The following is a 20,618-nucleotide window of genomic DNA, read 5'->3' on the forward strand; positions in this document are numbered from 1 at the left end:
ATGCTAAGTTAAAGAAGCCAGGGCCGGACACGGTGGCTCATGCCTGTAATCCCAGCACTTTGGGAGGCCAGTGCGCAAGGATCATTTGAGCTCAGGAGTTCAAGACCAGCCTGGCCAACACGGCAAAATCCTGTTTCTACCAGAAATGCAAAAATTAGCCAGGTGTGGTGGCATGTGCCTATGGTCCCAGCTCCTCAGGAGGCTGAGGTGGGAGGATTGCTTGGGCTCAGGAGGCAGTGGTTGCAATGAGTTGAGATTGTGCCACTGCACTCCAGCCTGGGTGACAGAGTGAGACTCCATCTTGAAGAAAAAAAAAAAAAAGCCAGACACAAAAGGCTACATATTGTATGGTTCCATTTATATGAAATGTCCAGAATAGGCAAATCCACAGAGACAGAAAATAGATTCGTGGTTGCCAAGGGCTGGAGGGAAGGGTGATGGAGAGTGACTGTTGATGGGTAGAGGATTTCTTTGGGGAGTGATGAGAATGTTCTAAAATTGATGTGACAATGGTTGCATAAACTCTGTCAATATCTAACAACCATTGAATTGTATTCTTTTTTGGTGATATGCTTACTATGCATTTTCTGATTTTTAAAAATTGTGGCAAAATACACATAAGGTTTCCCATCATAGCCATTTCTAAGTGCACAGTTCAGTGGCATTAAATGCATTCACAAGGTGTGCAACCATCATCAGAACTCTTTCGAATTGCAAAGCTGAAACTCTGCACCTACTAAATGATAACTCCCCATTTTCCCTCTCCCCAACCCTGGCCAACCATTCTATTTTCTATATCTGTGCATTTGACTACTCCAGGTACCTCATGTAAGTGGAATTATGCAGTATTTGATCTTTTATGATTGGCTTATTTCACTTAGCAGTATGTCCTCATGGTTCACCCATGTTGTAACATGTGTCAGAATTTTCTTCCTTTTTAAGGCTGAATAATATTCCATTGTATGTATATACCAAATTTTATTTACCCATTCATCCTTCAATGGATACTTGGGTTGCTTGTACTGTTAGGCGATTGTGAGTAATGCTATTATGAACATGAGTGTAAAAATATCTATTTGAGTCCCTGCTTTCAATTCTTTTTTTGTTTGTTTGTTTGAGATGGAGTCTCTCTCTGTCACCCAGACTGGAGTGCAGTGGCGTGATCTCGGAACACTGCAACCTCTGCCTCCTGGGTTCAAGCGATTCTCCTGCCTCAGCCTCCCAAGTAGCAGGGATTACAGGTGTGCACCACCACGTCCAGCTAATTTTTGTATTTTTAGTAGAGATGGGATTTCACCATGTTGGTCAGGCTGGTCTCGAATTCCTGACCTCAAGTAATCCACCTGCCTTGGCCTCCCAAAGTGCTGGGATTACAGGCGTGAGCCACTGTGCCTGGCCCCTGCTTTCAATTCTTTGGGGTAAATATCCAGAAGTGGAATTGCTGGATTATATGGCAATTTTTACCTTTTTGACAAACTGTCATGCTGTTGTCCATAGAAGCTGCAACATTTTATTATTTATTTATTTGTTTATTTTTTGAGATGGAGTCTTGCTCTGTCACCCAGACTGGAGTGCAGTGGTGTGATCTCAGCTCACTGTAACCTCCGCCTCCCGAGTTCAAGCGATTCTCGTGCCTCAGCCTCCGGAGTAGCTGGGATTACAGGCACCTGCCACCATGCCTGGCTAATTTTTTTGTATTTTTAGTAGAGACAGGGTTTCATCATGTTGGCCAGGCTGGTCTCGAACTCCTGACCTCAGGTGATCCACCCACCTTGGCCCTACAAAGTGCTGCGATTACAGGGGTGAGCCACTGTGCTCAGCCGCAGCTGTACCATTTTACATTGAATCGCTTTTAAAGGGTGAATTTTGGCCAGGCACAGTGGCTCATGCCTGTAATCCCAGCACTTTGAGAAGCTGAGGCAGGTGGATCACTTGAGGCCAGGAGTTTGAGACCAGCCTGGCCAACATGGCAAAACCCCATCTCTACTAAAAGTACAAAAATTAGCCGGGCATAGTGGCACATGCCTATAGTACCAGCTACTCAGGAGGCTGAGGCACAAAGAATTGCTTGAAACTGGAAGATGGAGGCTGCAGTGAGCTAAGATTGTGCCACTGCACTCCAGCCTGGGCAACACAGCAAGACCCTGTCTTCAAAAAAAAAAAATTTAAAAAAAGATACATACATAAATAAAAAGGTGAATTTTATATGTGAGTTACATTTCAATTAAACTGTTATTAAAAAAAAACATGAAGAGCATCAACCTTCAGGGAGCTTCTGATTTAGCGGTGGAAAGAGGAATTCACAATATCCATTCCATATGGTAAAGTAAATGATGTGAAAAGTTCAAATTTCTTTGATTCAAAGGGAAAAAATTACATTCAGTTGGATGAATCAAAAAAAGCTTCAAGACAAAGACATTTGAAATGGACCTTAAAGGAAGATTAGACTGTAATAGGTAAAACTGAGGAAGTTGAACCATCCAGGTCGAGGAAGGGAAAAACATAGGGAGAAATATTTTAAGCAAAGGCAAGAAAAAAATGGAAAATGAAGAAAAATTATTTGATGAAAAATGTTGTTTGTTCCCAACACCAATTCATTTTCCTGCCGGCACACAGAAGACTGTACTTTCTAGATCCCTTGCATCCTGTTAGGGCCTGTGAGTAACTGTGGTCAATGAAATACGATGGTGGTGATTGGGGGAAATGTGGGTTCTTGGATTGGCTCCTAAAATCTCCCACAAGATCCTCCATTGCCACCCAGATGTAGAGAATGCAGAGAATGACTCTGAGGCCTTGCAGGAGGCCTAAAGTAGGTGATGGGGTAAACTGTGGCCTGTAGGCCAAACCCCGCCCACTGCCGATTTTTGCACTGCCTGCAGGCAAAAACATGTTTTTACATTTTTAAATAAAAAATTTTAAAAGTACCATTTTGTGGCACATGAAAAATTATATCGTATTCAAAATTCAGTGTTCATAAATAAAATTTTATTGGAACACAAGGTTAATTTGTTTCCATATTGTCTATGGCTGGGTTTTTGTTTTGTTTTGTATTTTGTTTGTTTTTAGAGATACAGTCTTGCTCTGTTGCCCAGGATGGAGTACAGTGGTGGCATCATGGCTTTCTGCAGCCTCTATGCCCTGGGCTCAAGTGACCTTCCTGCCTCGGCCCCCCTAGTGGCTGCAACTGAGGCATGTGCCACCATGCCCGGCTCTATGGCTGTTTTTGTGCACAACGGTAGACGTGGGTAGTTGCAACAGAGACTGTATGGCCCACAAAGCTTAAATATTTACCATCCGGAACTTTACAGAAAAAGTTTGCTGACCCTTATCATGGAGAATGGCAGAGCCACTAGTGGGAAAAAACCCTGGTCCTAGAATGACCTTATGGAATAAGCATTAAATAAACACTTATTGTGTTAAGCTACTGAGATTGCTGGGTTACCTGTTACAGTGGCAGATGATGTGTTGCCTAACCAGCCCACTGTGGATGAAAACAGCTTTGTGAAAGCCACTTATATATTACTCCTCTATACTTTGTATTTACTAGCATGGAGGATTGGTTTTGAAGATAGGATGTATCAGTCATCAGAAATCACTGATTTAGTCTCTCTAGAACATATTTAGTTAATTTTCCAAGTGTATTAAATTACTCAATACTATATAATAAATATATTAAATTATTAAGAACACAGTTTTCCAAATTTATTAACCCCCTGCACTTCTCTCAAGAACAAGAAGGTTGAACAGCTCTCACTTCTATAGCAACTTGTATCCTAAACTTTAGCTTTGATAAAACTTTTCTACATTAAAAGGTAGAATGTGGGGTTTGAAACTCTGGCCTCCTAGCTATTGGTTTCAAGCTTCATATAGTTCTCTAATTTTGCCTCACAGATGCATATAGACAGGGGCAAGGAGTCCTGCTCCCCTGCCAAATTACTGCTTTTGACTGCCATGGAATTGAATTTGATCAGGAACCTCTTCTACTCAGAGAAGTAAATACCAAATAAGGATGTTTTAAATGTTAGTTTTGCAGTTTCTGATCAACTACATTCCCCTGTCCTGACAGGCCTGGGAGCCTGGGTGTGGTGTGAGAACGTGAACTTGCAGGGTTACTAATCAGAACTGCGTCTCCTGCGGGGCTGAGAAGCCTGGGCCTGGGCTCATGGAAACAAGCCAAAAATTGAGATCATCAGGGTTAGGATTTTGCGGGGAGCACAATGGAAGGGCAATGAATCATGGAGTTTGGAGACTTTGGCCCGAGAGTGGCTGAAATGATAACTCTTAAAATTAAAGCTGAATAGAGAAGAAAATAAAGATAAGGGGAGCTGATCAAGTAATGGATGTAGTTGAAATAACCCATTAAGAAAGATACAAGGAAAGATATGAGGTGGTGGTGGTAGTGAAGAGAGGGGTTTCAGATTTTGGAAGTGGAGAAATATTCAGGGTAACGACAAGACCTGTGGAGAAGCGAGTGTGGAATGTGGAAGTGAGGTGAGGTGAATGTCCCTGAGTCTGAGGAGGCAAAAAACCCAGATGCTACAAGGAGGGAATGATTGTCCATAGAGACGATGAGGACAACCAGGATGGCAGCAGGGTTTGGGCCAAAGTGGGTAACTGTGAGCCAGGTACTAAAGTGTTCAGCAAATGGAAGGCAGCCATGACAGTAATGAAAAGGGATAGAACGACAAGACCACAGTGCAGGACCACAAAGGACAGTGTCCCATAAAGCGCAATGGTCTGAGAAGTGACCCAGCTGTCCATGGAGTGTGGGAGAAGCGGCAGCATTCCCTGGAGAGGGCAGCAGATGCAGGTCCTCAGGGTAAGCCGGGTTTCAGTCAGGAGGCAGAGGAGTGTCATGGAGTCTGTCAGAGGACACGAGGGAGCGGTGGAAGGTTGCATCACGAAGATGAAACGCATGGCAGTGTAGCAATACACATGAAGAGGGCAGAAACGTCCAGATCCTCTTACTTGATTTCTATCTACGTGTCTTTTATATATTTAGTACGCCCTTTCCAATATTTTTCAAAACAATGTGGATATCATTTTAAAAAAATACTTCAAACTTTTACACATTATATGCCAGAAACAAACCTGAAGGCTTTTAAAGAAAGGTTCACAACAAAATCGGGAAATCCTCTCAAACAGTGGTTGACAAACACAATACTGATACACTTACCAGCTTGCTATTATTTGCATTAATTATTCTTGACTTGAAGGAATTGAAGGAGAAAGAGGTTAAGTGCACAACAACTAGAAATAAATATTGGTATTGCTGAAATATTTAATAGTACAAAAAGAGGAACAATCATAGTTCTTTGTCACTCTACTTATCCATCTTCTTAAAAAATCACAAGTGAGGCTGGGCACAAAGGCTCACGCCTGTAACTCCAGCACTTTGGGAGGCCAAGGTGGGCGGATCACCTGAGGTCAGAGGTTCAAGACCAGCCTGGACAACATAGTGAAACCCTGTCTCTACTAAAAATACAAAAATCAGCCAGGCTTGGTGGCGCAGCACCTGTAATCCCAGCTACTTGGGAGGCTGAAGCACGAGAATTGCTGGAACCTGGGAGGCGGAGGTTGTGGTGAGCTGAGATTGCGCCACTGCACTCCAGCCTGGGTGACAGAGCGAAACTCCATATCAAAAAAAAAAAAAAAAAAATCCCAAGCGAATCAAGGGTAGACCTCAACAGAGTCAGAGCTGAAAGGAGCACAATGTATTTATATTAGAGACAGATTCTTTGATACCAAAGTTGAATTGAGAGAACAAACAGACTGAGAAAATGTGGAGTGAGATCTTTGCCTCCAAGTTGGGTTGGTGCTACAGCAGGGGTCGCCAACCTCTGGCTGTGGACCGGTACCAGTCCGTGACCTGTTAGCACAGCAGGAGGTAAGCAACAGGCTAGGGAGCATTTCAGCCTTGACCTCCGCCTCCTGTCGGATCAGTGGTGGTATTAGACTCTCACAGGAGCGCGAACCCTATTGTGAACTGCGCATGTGAGGGATCTAGGTTGCATGCTCCTTCTGAGAATTTAATGCCTGATGATCTGAGGTAGAACAGTTTCATCCCAAAACCATCATCCCCCAATCCGTGAAAAATTGTATTCCGTGAAACTGGTCCCTGGTGCCAAAAGGTTGGAGACCACTGTGCTAGACAGCTGGGCAAGGGTTAAGAAAGTTGATGCTTTTACACAAAAAGGCAAATATCATATGTTCTCACTCATATGTGGGAGCTTAAAATGTAGATCTCATAATGATACAGGGTAGATTGGTGGTTGCCAAAGGCCAGGAAGGGGAGGGGGGGATGGGAGATGAAGGGAAAAAAAAGGATATAAATATATTTATTACTACTGAACTGTATACTTACAAATCGTAAAGATGGTTAAAAAAAAAGAAAAAAGAAAGAAAAATCAGAATAAGGGCTATAGACTAAATAATAGTTCTTTATATTAATTGCCCTGTTTTTTAAAATAAATTATACTGTGGTCATGTATGAGAATATTAATTTTAGGAAATACACATAAGTCTGTAACTTTTTCTTAGGGTTCAGAAAAGAGAGAGGGAAATAAAACAAATATAGTAAAACGTTAACATTTGGAGGATCTGGATAAAAAGTATATGAGAATTTTTTGTACTATTATAACTTTCCTGCATGTCTTTAATTATGATTAAAAAAACTTAAATATAAGAAAAAAAGAAAAGAAAGAAAGTTGATGCTTTTAGTAAACTATGGACCCTCTCCCCAGAAGATTGTACCTAAGCTGGTGCAAAGAATGCTTCACTTACCATCTCAAGGGATTTAAAATCCACCAAAGACCGTTCTTGAGCCGAGACTAAGAGCAAGTGAAGCTTAGGAAAGTGGCCCAGAGAAGCCAATCAGGGAGCTAGCATCTGAGGAAGGAAGATATTTTGTTTGGGAAAATTCCAGAGGGAAAAAAAGTAAGGAAGCCATGGTTTCAGGGTTAAGATGGATTTGAGGATAGTGGTTTTGAACAGGTGAAGTGAATGGATCGGGGGACGGAAAGACAGAGACTTGATTGCAAATACCCAGCTATGAGAGTGACAGGCCACACCTTGAAATGTGGTACAAATCATCATCATCAGGAAATCCAGGAATGAGAGATTCATACAGGGAAGAGGTAGCATAGAATAAAAAATGCTAGGCCAGGAATGGTGGCTCACACCTGTAATCTCAGAAATTTGGGACGCTAAGGCAGGTGGATCACTTGAGGCCAGGAGTTCGAGACCAGCCTGACCAACATGGCGAAGCCCTGTCTCTACTAAAAATACAAAAATTATCTGGGCATGGTGGCAGTAGTCACAGCTACTCAGGAGGCTGAGGAAAGAGAATCACTTGAACCTGGGAGGTGGAGGTTGCAGTGAACCGAGATTGAGCCACTCCACTCCTGCCTGGGTGACAGAACAAGACTCTGTCTCAAAAAAAAAAAAAAAAAAAAAAAAAAGAATAAAACATTCCCAGTCTGGAGTCAGACCTAGGGTCAGACTTTCACCCTACTCGTGTTTAGCTCACCATTGAGAAGGCTGGCGTCTCTAGGCCTCTCATGTTAAAGAAGAGAGCTCATGGGGTGGTGTGAGAATTAGCTTAGCTAACACAAGTAATGTGTCTTACGTGAAACCTAGCATCCGGTAGCCCTAAGCAAATGGTAGCACATTACATGAGCAGATTTGGAGGATTCCATTCATTACCCCATGGTCTTACCAACAACACCAACTGAGGAGACAGGCCGCGCTGATGCTGTTTTCCACGATGCTCCGGAGGGAGTTGACCACTTATTTGCTTTCCTTTCAGCGAAGAAAGCATATTGCAGGGCTCTAGCCTGCCCTGATTGCAAAAGATATAGAAACAGCTCCTCCTCCTTCTTGATGCCCACTTCATAGGGATACTGCACAGCAGCCTGGACTGCACGGACACAAGCCTCCTGTGCAAGACACCCAGGGTGCTGCCTCCGCATCTTCAAGAGGGCCTCACTAAAAATGCTGTCCATGTTGGGCAAGCTCTGAATTGGCTTGTTGCAGAGTCTACGGGATTCTAGAGGTTGATCTGAAAGGAATAAGAAGGATCAGAGCTTTGGAAATGTTACTTGTACAAAGGGAATGTGAATATATAGTAATAACAATAACCTGTTCAAATTCAAAGCACAAACTAAAAGCTATTCATTAAGACATTTAATGTACACTAAACATATGTACACTAACATCTCTGATATCTTTGCAACACAGTCCTACAAGATAGAATTTAGTAGACTCAAAGCAATTTTAGGTTACCTAGTTTAGGCATAAAAGTTGTATTTTCTTTTTAATCCAAGACCAAGACAATTTTATAATAGATTAATGATTAATTAATTAAATTAATCAATAGATTAATATTTAATCTGTAATTAATATTAATATATTAAATATTAATGAGTCTAAGGAAAACGGTTCTGAGTTAATATTTTATTTATTAATTTTTAAAAATTATTTCAGCTTTTATTTTAGATTGAGGGCATACATGTGCAGGTTTGTTACATGGGTATATCACACGATGCTGAGGCTTGGGATATGAATAATCCTGCCACCCCAGTAGTGAGCATAGTACCCAGAAGTTGGTTTTTCAACCTTTGCCATCCTCCCTCCCTTCCCCTGTAGTAGAGACTCTAGTGTCTATTATTGAGTGAATATTTTAGATTCAAAATAACCTTAACTCCGTTCCTAATAGTAACAAAAACTTTAAAATACCTAGAAAAGGAGACAGCGTGGTATTGATGCAAGGATAGGTATATATATCAATGGAAGAGAATCGAGAGTTCACAAATAAACTCTTACAATTATAGCCAATGATTTTCAACATAGGTGTCCAAACAATTCAATGGAAGAAAGGAGAGTCTCTTTTTTTCACATTCAGAATTTTTATTTTAAAACAAAGAATCGGAGCAACATTAACAACAGAAAATCCATATGGAAATATTCACAATCTGCTCAGTGAGAAATGGGAAAACAACTTTCCTGCCTTACTGCCAACCTACTGTTTGAGGAGCCAGAAGTTGACGTGAGGTTGGAAGGTCACCTTTTCCAGCTAAATCCCACTGAATAGGTGTGTGCATTTTTATTCAAAGTCTCCGCAACCAGAGGGAACAGAACTGAGAACAAAAATACTGTTATTGGCAAGGGTTTGGCTAAAGGGTCTGGCTAAAGGGTCTGAGATGTGCAAGCACCAAGAAGGGATAGGGAGATTGAGCAACACATGAAAAGAGGGGCTGTAGGAACAAGCACCGAGAAAGTAAGTCAACTATAACCTACTTCCACCCAGAGCAAAGTGACTGTGCACATAAATCCACACTCTCAAGTGTGGGCTACACTGCACGCTGACTCATACGATCTCAAACGTGGTTTATTGGAAAGATTCTAGTCCCCTAAGGGCACTCAGCGAAGGACCACAGTGACATGGTAACAGATGCACACAAGCATACTGTGACCCTAAAGCAACAACACACTTTAGATAATAATCGTTCAGAAAAAAATCCTCAAAAGGAGAATCTTTCAACAAATCGTAGTGGGATAATTGGATATCCACATGCCAAAAACAATAAAAAAAAAAAAAAATTTAGGTCCTTACCTAGCACCATATATAAAAATCAACTGAAAACAGATCACAAATCTAAATTGAAGAACTAATACTATAAAAATTCCTAGAAGAAAATATAAAAAAATTTTCAGGACCTTGGGGTTAGGCAAAGTATTCTTAGATACAACACCAAAAGCATGACATACAAAAGAAACAAGAAATCAGACTTCATAAAAATTAAAGACTTTTGTTCTTCAAAGGATATCAATAAGAAAATGAAATGACAGCCAGGTGCAGTGGCTCACGCCTGTAATCCTAGCACTTTGGGAGGCCGAGGCGGGTGGATTGTCTGAGCTCAGGAGTTCGAGACCAGCCTGGGCAACATGGTGAAACCCCATCTCTACTAAAATACAAAAAATTAGCTGGACATGGTGGTGTGCACCTGTAATCCCAGCTACTCGGGAAGCTGAGGCAGGAAAATTGCTAGAACCTGAGAGGTGGAGGTTGCAGTGAGCCGAGATCATGCCATTGCACTCCAGCCAGGGTGACAGAGCGAGACTCTGTCTCCAAAAAAAACAGAAAAAAAAAAATGAAATGACAAGCCATAAACTAGAAGAAAATACTTGTGTGGTAGTCAGAATAACACCCCCCCCACCAAATGTTCATGTCTTAATTCCTAGAATCTGTGAATGTATAACCTCACATGGTAAAGAGATGTATAGGTGAGAGTAAGATTAAAGACCTTGGCTGGGCACAGTAGCCCACGCCTGTAATTCCAGTACTCTGGGAGGCCGAGGTGGGCAGATTGCTTTGAGCTCAGGAGGTTGAGACCAACCTGGGCAACGTGGTGAAACTCTGTCTCTACCAAAAATACAAAAAATTAGCCGGGCATGGTGGCGCACCCCTGTGGTCCCAGCTACTCTGGAGGCTGAAGTGGGAGAATCGTTTGAGCCTGAGAGGTTGCAGTGAGTGAGCCAAGGTCGTGCCACTGCACTGCAGCCTGGGTGACAGAGTGAGACCCCATTTCAAAAAAAAAAAAAAATTAGACATTGAGATGGGGATATTACCCTGTGTTATCTGATTGAGTGCAATCTAATCATATGAGTCCTTAAAAGCAGAGAATCTTTCCTGACTGTGGTGAGGGGGATTCAACAAGGAAGAAGGGTTAGAGAAATGCAACATGCAAAGGACTCGACCTGTTGGCACTGATGTAGCTTTGAATATGAGGAAAGGAGACCAAGAACTAAAGAATGCAGTGTTCTCTAGAAGCTGGGATTGACCTTTAAGGTTTACAAGGTCGCAAGTTTGCAAGCAAGAACATGGGGACTCTGATCCCACAATGCAAAGTACTGAGTTCTGCCAACAACCCAAATAAGCAGGAAACAGTTTCTCCCCTAGAGCCTCCAGAAAAGAGTGCACCAGCTGACACCTGGATTTTAGCCCAGGGAGACCTCTACAATACTTCTAGTCTACACAACTGTAAGAAAATAATTTCGGATGATTTAAACTGCTAAGCTTGTGGTAATTTTTTAGCACAGCAATAGAAAATATAATTGGCACATCAAATATCAAATAAAGAACTTGTTTCCAGAATATGTAACAAACTCTTATGACTCAATAATTAGGTAAACAATGTAATTTCTTAAACGGGCAAAAACTTGAGCAGTTATTTCATCAAGGAGCATATGTGAATGGCTAATATGCACACAAAAAGATGCTCGACATCATTAGTCATTAAGGAAATGCAAATTAAAACCGCAACAAATGTGGTAGACAGACTCTAAGTAATGGGCTGTCATTTCTAGATTAGGTTACAAAAAGACTCTGGCTTCAGTCTTGCTCATACTTTCTTGCCCTCTCAAATTGGTCACTCTGATGGAAGCCAGCTGCCCTGTTGTGAGCCACCCTATGGTGAAGCCCACGTGGCAAAGAACTGAGGGAGGCTTTCAGCCCACAGTCAGTGAGGAACTGAGGCCCTCAGTACAACAGCCCATACGGAACTGAATCCTACCAACAACCGCTTGAGTGAGTTTGAAAGCAGATTCTCCCCCTGACCCCTAATCAACCTGAGATGACTACAGCCACAGACAACACCTTGATTGTAGCTTTGTTTGAAATCTGAAAGCCAGAGGACCTAGGACACTTGGATTCTGGACCCACAGAAATTGTGGAATAAATGTTTGATTTTAAGCCACTAAGTTTTGGGGTCATTTGTTATGCAGTTAGACTTACTAGAATGACTATAATAAAAAGCCATCACTACTGAATGTTGGTGATGATGTAGAGAAACCAGAAGCCTCATACGTTGCTTCTGAGAGTGTAAAACAGCACATTGCTTTGGAAAACAGTTTAGTTGTTTCTTAAAAAGATAAACATAAACTGATTGTTCAACCCAGCAATTTCACTCCCAGGAATCTACACAAGAGAAATGAAAGCATATGCCATAAAGAAAACTTGTCTACAAATATTCATGGCAGCATTATTTATAATAGCAAAATCTGGAAACAATCCAAACATCCATCAGCTGTTGAATGACTAAAGAAATTTGATAGAGCCATGCAATAGAATATTATTCAGCAATAAAAAGGATCAAACTGTTGATACATGCTACAATACAGATACAGATGAGCCTCAGAAACATTATGCTAACTAAAAGAAGCCAGATGCAAAACATTACATATTGTATGATGCCATTTAGATCCAAGGTCCAAAAAATGCAAATCTATAGAGACAGAAAGATCAGTGGTTGCCTAGGGCTGGGGATGTGAGTAGGAGTTAGTGTTAATGGGCATGAAGAAACTTTTTGTGGGAGTGGACAAGTCTTAAAATTGATTTATGGGGATGGCTGCACAATCTATAAGGCAAATCACGCCTCATTAAAACTGTTAAAGTGTATCTAGAAATGAATTTATCAAGAAAGGTACAAGACCTTTCAGAAGATAACTATACCATTTTATTGAAGAACATAAAATAAGACCTTAATAAAAACAGAAAAGCACCATGCTTCTGGATATAAATATTTAATAGCATAAAAATATATTTTCCATATGTATTATATATGAAATTTTAATAAGAATCCTTATGGTACTATTTTAAAAAATAACTTTACAGAATGATTCCAAAGTTTTCATAAAATAATAAATTCATAACAACTTACAGTTACCAAAACTTCAGCTATACCAGAAGTTGTTTTCTATAATGTACTGGCATCTCTTAAAAAATAAAACCATTTTATCAAAAATGTACATCTTAGTTATTTAGACAGAAAGCCTACCAGGGCTTATACCAGAGCAGTTTCACCATAAAAAGACATATGAACATAAGCGCATCTGGCATTGAGCCCCTCTGGCATTGGTGTGTTAGGCGTGTCCAAGGGAACGTGAGTAAGGTTTGGATGTAATCATGTGCACATGGTAATATAGATATATTGTATAATCTCAGCCTCCTTTTTAAATCAAAGAGACAAGAATATTTTCTTAATGCTTGATTAGTAAGTAGTGTTGGAAAGAATGAGTTTCTGAATTAATGATTTCCCATATGATGTTAAAGAATAGGATTCAGGAATGGAGAGAAGACAGTGGTTATAGGCATGTGGTCCCTCTCACCCTACTACTTTGAAAAAACATGAACCGTATCCAATAGGCCCACCAATTACTTGCTCAATTACCCAAAGAGTTAGCCCAATCCTCAATTTAAGGGAAAGCAAACTCAGCAGAGAAGAATGGGGACTCCCCCAGGGTCTACAGATGATTTAATGTGCCGGTGACCTAAAAGGAAGACAAGAATGGACAATGGGGAGAGGAAGGAGAGAACAAGAGCATGGAGGCACAAGCGGAGGAGGAAGGCAGGCTGGGCTGCCGGTGCAATCTATGCCATGTAACAGGGCATAGACAGCGCTGGGATATCTTAGAGTTGGATCTCTGTCTTGTGATACTACCTCTGTTCCCAGCATTCCTGGGGGTGCTTCTCAACATCATAGCACACATCAGATTTATTTGAAGAGTTTACGAAGTTCAGATGCCCACATCATACCTCAAAATTAACTGCTGAATTTTTTAAGAGTAGCCATGCCCAGGCCTCACCATAGATTCAGTTAAGAATCTTTGCCGGGCACAGTGTAATCCCAGCACTTTGGGAGGCCGAGGCAGGTGGATCATGAGGTCAGCAGTTCAGGACCAGCCCAGCCAAGATAGTGAAACCCCGTCTCTACTAAAAATACAAAAATTAGCCAGGCGTGGTGGGTGCCTGTAGTCTCAGCTACTACTCGGGAGGCTGAGGAAGGAGAATCGCTTTGAATCTGGGCGGCAGAGGTTGCAGTGAGCCGAGATTGTGCCACTGCACTCCAGCCTGGGCGACAGAGTGAGACTCTGTCTCAAAAAAAAAAAAAAAAAGGGAATATTTAAAGGTGGGGCCTAGTAAGACTATTCTTGAAAAGTTCAGAAGCTGATTTTAAGGTATAGCCTCTGGGAGCTCCAAGAGCAGAGAGTGTTGTCCGCCACTGAATCAAGGACAGCTGCAGTTCCTGGCAATTTCATTTTAGGCCAGAGATTGAAAAGAAAAGATGGGAAAAAAAGAGAGGAGAGAACAAAACTGAAATGAAAAGAAAGCCTGCTTAATGGTGTGCAGTAATTAGTTCTGATCAGCATAATCCTATTATCCCGGGGACACTGAAAACCTCGCAGACTGCATATGGGCATTTTGGGAGCTATCCAAGGCACTTGTCTAGACCAGTCCTAGGGCCAAACTAAGCATACCCACTGGAAAATTTTGGATCCGGGCACAATCATAGATGGTTTTTCCCTGCTCAATTTCCTATCTCTTTCTTGCTACAGCTATAACTAAGGATGCTGTTATCTTACAACTTCAGTTATAAGATATTCAGAATTTCCCCTTTGGGTGTATAAGTACAGTTGTTTTCAAAGTGTATTTCTTGTATACTTGGTAGTTTTCAAGTCACTCAGCAGTACCTATACAATAAGAGAGGCAAGTGTCAGTATGTCAGCATCAGCATTGGCTGCCCAGGGAAATGGGGAGGAAAGGAAGTAATCAGTGATTCAAATATACTATTAATTGAATTCTTTCCTTGACCCATTCACATTTTTTCTTAGTTCTATGAGGTATTCTATGACATTTTTGATAAAAAAGATAAGTGAGTCACGTTTCTGAAGGAACAAAAGGAGGTGATTATTTTCCCTTCTTCTTCTGCTGTAATGGCAGGAAAAGATTTTCTCTGCCTAGGCTAAAGAGAGACTCAACATGCGGTTCACGGAAATCGTGAACACAGACATCAAGGAATCTGTCTCTCTCTCTCTCTCTAACCCTGATAAACAGAAAGCTGTGTCCATCATAAAAGCTTTGCAAAGGACAGACAGAATAACTGCACATTAACAGGCTTCAAGAAGGTGACCCACAGAACTTGTCTAGCAGGTAAAAAGGAAGCTCAATTTAGACATGTGCGTAGGCCTCCTATGTAAGGCAGGTCACTCTGCTCTTTTGAAACATGTTCATATAAATGTTCACAGCGGGTAAAAATAAATTACAAAGTGAAGAAGATAAAATGAAGAGAAAGACAAATAAAACCACTAAGGTTTTTTAAAAGCCACAACTCCAAAAGAACAAATAGACCAAGGTCTTTAGGCAGAATTAGAATTGTTAAAAGTGGCTAACACAGCCCAGCACAGCCACAGGAACAGGACCAGGGTTCATTACAGAAAGGAAAACGGAGCATTAGGTTCCAGAGTTGACACTCCCAGCTGGATAATTCCCTGTGCCCATTCCAGCTGGGGAAGGTAGAGAGAGAGAGAGCCTTTAGTCTCTTGGTCTTTGAATAACAGCACACACATTCAGCATCATGCCAGAAACATGCACATGAGAACAGGAGTTCTTAGTTCAGAAACAGGCAGGCTGCTAGCCACATGCATGTGCAAATATATAGCATTTTATAGGATGCTCCCCTCCCTAGTTTAGCCAATGCAATCTGGTTTGGCCAAGTAATTCTGCATTGCACTGCTAAATCCATTGCACTGCAGTAGTCTGGGAGGCTTCATAGAATACGAACATTAAAATGCATAAAGCTAATGAACTTCCACAGTCAACTCACCAGGATACAGTGTTAAGTTTGTAGAGAAATGTGCCGCTAAGTCCCAAATTGCGTTTTAGGTATGTTAACCTTCTACACTCCCTTCCCACTCGTAATTGGTTCCAAAAGTGCTGATTGGAACCTTGACCATTGGAAATTCCCTTTTCTCCCTCCTTTCCTATAAGAAGTAGAAACTAAATAAATGTTCTTCATCTTCTTCTTTCGTTGTTGTTGTTGTTTTAAAGCAAACATTTGAGCAGTGGGAGTGAGAATAGGCTGAATAATTGGAATATGGTTACAAATGGGAAAAGGGAATACAAAAATTCAACATGTATTTTTTTAAGACAGAGACAGACTTTGCATACCACAAAAGTCACCACTTTAAAGTGTATAGTTCAGTGTTTTTCAGAATATTCACAAGGTTGTGCAACCATATGTGTATGCATTTTAACCATGCCTTTCATAACTGATTTACAAAAATATCTTTAAGACTATAGCAGCTGGGTGCGGTAGCTCACGCCTGTAATCCCAGCACTTTGGGAGGCAGAGGCAGGTGGATCACTTGGGGTCAGGAGTTCGAGACCAGACTGGTCAACATGGTGAAACCCCGTCTCTACTAAAAACACAAAAATTAGCCGGGTGTGCTGCCTTGTGCCTGTAATCCCAGTTACTTGGGAGGCTGAGGCAGGAGAATTGCTTGAACCCAGGAGGCGGAGGTTGCAGCGAGCCAAGATTGCACCATTGTACTCCAGCCTGGGTGAAGAAGCAAGACTCTGTCTCAAAAAAAAAAAAAAAAAAAAAAAAAAAGACTATAGGTAGTGTTTGCGTGTCAGGTGTAAAAAAAATCAAAACTAGCAAAAATTATCTCCTTTCTTACCCTTGTTCTCTGTATATCAATGGTTCTCAAAGTGTGGTCCCCAGAACACAGCATCAACATCACCTAAGCATGTTTGTTAGAGATACAAATTCTTGGGCCCCACCCCAGATTTAATGAATCAGAAAGTAATGAGTGGGGCCCTGCTAACCGTGCTTTAACAAGCCCACCAAAAAGCAATTTTGATGCACAGTGAAGTTTGAGGACCATGGCTCTAGATCAAGACAATTGCTCTAGCTTTCCATAACTATAGATTTCTAATAAATGCATATATATTTAATGTAATTAACATATTGAATTTTTGTGGAAACTTTCCTTCAAGTTAATCCATCAATTTTGTTCTGCTAAATGACCACACACTAACCACTGTATTTAAAACAAAGAGGCTGGGTGCGGTGGCTCACGGCTGTAATCCCAGCACTTTGGGAGGTAGAGGCGGGTGGATCACCTGAGGTCAGGAGTTCAAGACCAGCCTGGCCAACATGGTGAAACTCCATCTCTAATAAAACTACAAAAATTAGCTGAGTGTGGTGATGCATGCCTGTAATCCCAGCTACTCCAGAGGCTGAAGCAGGAGAATCAATTGAACCTGAGAAGAGGAGATTGCAGTGAGCCGAGGTCATGTCATTGCACTCCAGCCTGAGCAACAAGAGCGAAACTCCGTCTCAAAAAAAAAAAAAAGAAAAAAAGAAAGAGAAAAAAGAGGAAAGTGGGGAAGCACAAAAAGAAAAGATAGGCACAATACCTCAAATGAAAATGAAAGGCAAATAAATAGGCCTCCTTAAATTATAAATTTGGTAAGAGAATAAATGGCAAATGTTGACAAGATTCTGAGTTAATCCTTGGTTGATCTGTCTTTTTCTCTACCTTGATCTCCAGCGTTTGTCTATTACAAAGCAGCACCAAGAAATCATAGGATTTCAAACAGTGGAACTCATTTAAAAAAGAAAAAACAGTAAAAGTCCTAGGGTTTCCATGGGATTCTAATCATTAAACCCCAAAACACACATTACACCCCAAAACCTTGCTTGAGTTGTTGCAAGGACAAATAACTAAGCACCCAACCACTGTAGCCTGTGAGGTCTCAGAACATGATTTGAAACCAGCTAATTTTGTTGAACCCTTTCTTTTACCAATACATAAAACAAAGCCCCAAAGATGATTTGTTAAGGTCCCGTAGCTAAAGCTGAGACCTCTGTCTCTCCTGACCTCCAGTCCTGAGCCCATTTCTCTAACAGACTGCGTCCTTTCCACACTGGCCTCCCAAAGTCATCCATTTTTTTGGGGGAGGGGGTAAATTTAATGACTTAGATATTAGGAAAAGATAAATTTTTTTTCAAATCAAGAGTCTAGATTACCTACCACCCAAGTACAACCACTACTGAAAATTTGTTACATCGCCTTATAGTTTTTTCCTTATGCAGGTACATATAAGAACACACGCACACACTTGTAAAATTTTCTACCTGGCTGTTTTCTTCTTAATACTATATGTAAGCAATTTTCCAAGTTCTTCAACTTTCTTTAAAAATGGAAGTTGTAATAGCTGAATGGAGTCAGTTCATTGAGATTATCGTTTTTACATAATTAATTTCCCAGAACTAAATATTTGAGTTGTTTCCAATATTTTATGATAATCTAAAAGCTTTAGTGAGTATTACTGTATACAAATCTTTGTGTATTTATGTGATTATTTCTCTATGGTAAATTCCTAAGAATAGAAAAACTAAGTGAAAAGGTATGAGTAATTTTAAGCCTCTATAAGTGATTGTCCAGCTGCCTTCTAGACAGGATGTATTACAAGCATTCTAATGAGAGCTTATTTAAACTCAGTCTCACCGTATTTGTTCCATCTGTTCTGATCTGCTTGGCAAAAATTAGTGTCTTTTAAATCACTGATTTTTTTATTAATAAATTTTAAAAAGCATTTAAGAGTCAAGCATACACTTATTACAACCCAGCAATACTATTCTCAGGTATTTACCCAAGAAAAAGGAAAAACTATGTCTACAAAGACTTGTGTAGGCCCAAAGTGGAAACAAACTAAATGTCCATCAACTGATAATGGATAAACAAATTGTGGTTTACCCACAATGTGGAATACAAGTCAATAAAAAGGAACAAAATATTAATGCATGCAACAATAGGAATGGCTCTCAAAAACATTATACAAAATAAAGCCAGCCACAGAAGACTATATACTACTGCATGATTTCATCCATATGAGATTCTAAAAAAACCATAAAAGTATGACAGAAAGTAGGTCACTGGTTGCCTGCGGCCAAGGGGAAGAAAAAAGGATTTATGGGAAAGGGGTATGAGAATACTTTTTAGGGTGATAGAACTATATTTTGATTGTGGCCATGGTTATACAACTGTAAACAACTACCAAAATTCACCAAACTCCCCCTTAAAATGCATGAATTTTATCTGTAGAAATTACACCTCAATACAGCTGGAAAAAATAAAAACAAAACCAAAAATAATTTAGAAATGTTTGAGAAAACTAACTTATCCTAAGCTGGAGAATAAAACAAAACAAAAGCAAAAATCACTTAAGAAATTTTGGAGAAAAACTAACATTTTCATTTTTGCTTATTTCCTTTCCATTTGTATCTGTATTCATACATACTCCAGATAATGATCATTACTCTATACACGATTATATACTGTATAATTGCAAATACATGTACATTTATATTCTACACATTTTTATATCACAATTTTACATTTTTCTATATAGTTTTCATGATTATAATTTAAAATAGTAACACATAATTGTCTAAAGCCCTGAAGTGTTAAAAGGTGAATTACAGGTTTAAAGCAAATGGTGCCTCAATATTTGGATGCCACCAAGTGGACAAACTGTATAATGTCGTTGAGATGAAACACTATTTTGTAAGTTTTATAAAGTAAAAATGCTTAATTTAATGTTTACAATTAATTTTAAATTGTGAATAAATTAAAGTTATAACCAGACCATTTTAGAAATGTAGCTAAGGTTGAGACCTGGATCCAGGTCTCCTAGATCATGAACCTCAACTATTTCTTGAAGTAACTTAATTCTCAAATCAGAATCTAGGGAAATCACTTAAGGAAAAGAACTTCCTGTTGAAATTGAGACCTTTACAAACTAAAACTACAGATGTGAATGACAGACACGGGTCTACCTTTAGCAAACCAAAGAATCATTTCGGGACCTCCAAATGCAAATAGCCTTTGCTGTGTGTCTGTCAAGTGACTTCTAACAAAACAATAAGCCCCCTCGGGAAGCACAATGATGAAAACACAGTGAAGGTTGCCTGAAAGGCCGAGAAAAATAGTAGGAAATTTATTTCTATTTGGGCAAGGACTTGCTGATTCTCTTTAGGGGTCTCCATTATTTTCTCCCCATCGTTCCTCCCCTCTCCAGTTCAAGCTTTTACTTTCACATTGAAACAGTAACTGGCTAGAGCCACAAAAAAGAAAGATTATTTCAGGAAAGTGTTTGGTCTCTGCCAAGGTCAACAAAAGAATGACTCCTTCAAAAGAATGCCTTTGAATGACACTGGGCCATTGCCTGCCACCAAGCGGGAGACCAGCACTCTGTTCTGCCTGTAACGCAATACTCTTCCCAATTATTTTTTTCTGGCTATTTTTACCCTCTCCATCTTGCTCATTTAAAGATGACAACATCCATAGACTGAAAAGAAACTGTGAAACAAACAAAAAAACCTCTGTGAGTGCCACTGAAAGAACTCTGAAAGGAACATCCCGAGTCCATAAAGTAAGAAACCACTGAGAGAAGGACATAACTCAGTTTGCGGAGACAGAAGTTCTCAAGGCCCACAGTTTTACTGCGGTAAATTATAGAGCCTGTGATATGGTTTAGATGTGTGTCCGCTCCAAATCTCATGTTGAAATGTGGTCCCCAGTGTTTGAGGTGGGAGCCTGGTGGGAGGTTACTGGGTCATGGGAGCTGATCCCTCAGGAACGGTTTAGTACCATCCCCTTGGTGATAAGAGAGCTTTCACTTAGTTGATGAGAGATCAGCTTGTTTAGAAGAGTTTGGGGCCAGGCGCGGTGGCTCATGCCTGTAATCCCAGCACTTTGGGAGGTCGAGG

General features: G+C 40.4%; 1 protein-coding gene across 4 annotated transcripts in view, besides 1 other annotated feature; it reads right to left on the bottom strand.

The window, feature by feature from the left end:
* EHHADH (enoyl-CoA hydratase and 3-hydroxyacyl CoA dehydrogenase) overlaps positions 1-20,618 on the bottom strand; it is a 63,426-nt gene that overhangs the window by 6,075 nt on the left and 36,733 nt on the right. For all 4 annotated transcript variants that reach the window (NM_001966.4, NM_001166415.2, XM_047447641.1 and 1 more), the window contains one exon: positions 7,718-8,059. In NM_001966.4, coding sequence (NP_001957.2) covers positions 7,718-8,059 — 342 coding nt within the window. The remainder of the gene's footprint in view (positions 1-7,717; positions 8,060-20,618) is intronic.
* Positions 11,652-11,701: an enhancer, noted in NCBI's record as "active region_20918". NCBI's record gives its function as "activates an Ori minimal core promoter by ATAC-STARR-seq in GM12878 lymphoblastoid cells {active_cell/tissue: GM12878}" and the evidence as "EXISTENCE:reporter gene assay evidence [ECO:0000049][PMID:35858748]".

Source organism: Homo sapiens, chromosome 3, assembly GCF_000001405.40.
Source record: "Homo sapiens chromosome 3, GRCh38.p14 Primary Assembly".
NCBI classification, from domain to species: Eukaryota; Metazoa; Chordata; class Mammalia; order Primates; family Hominidae; genus Homo; species Homo sapiens.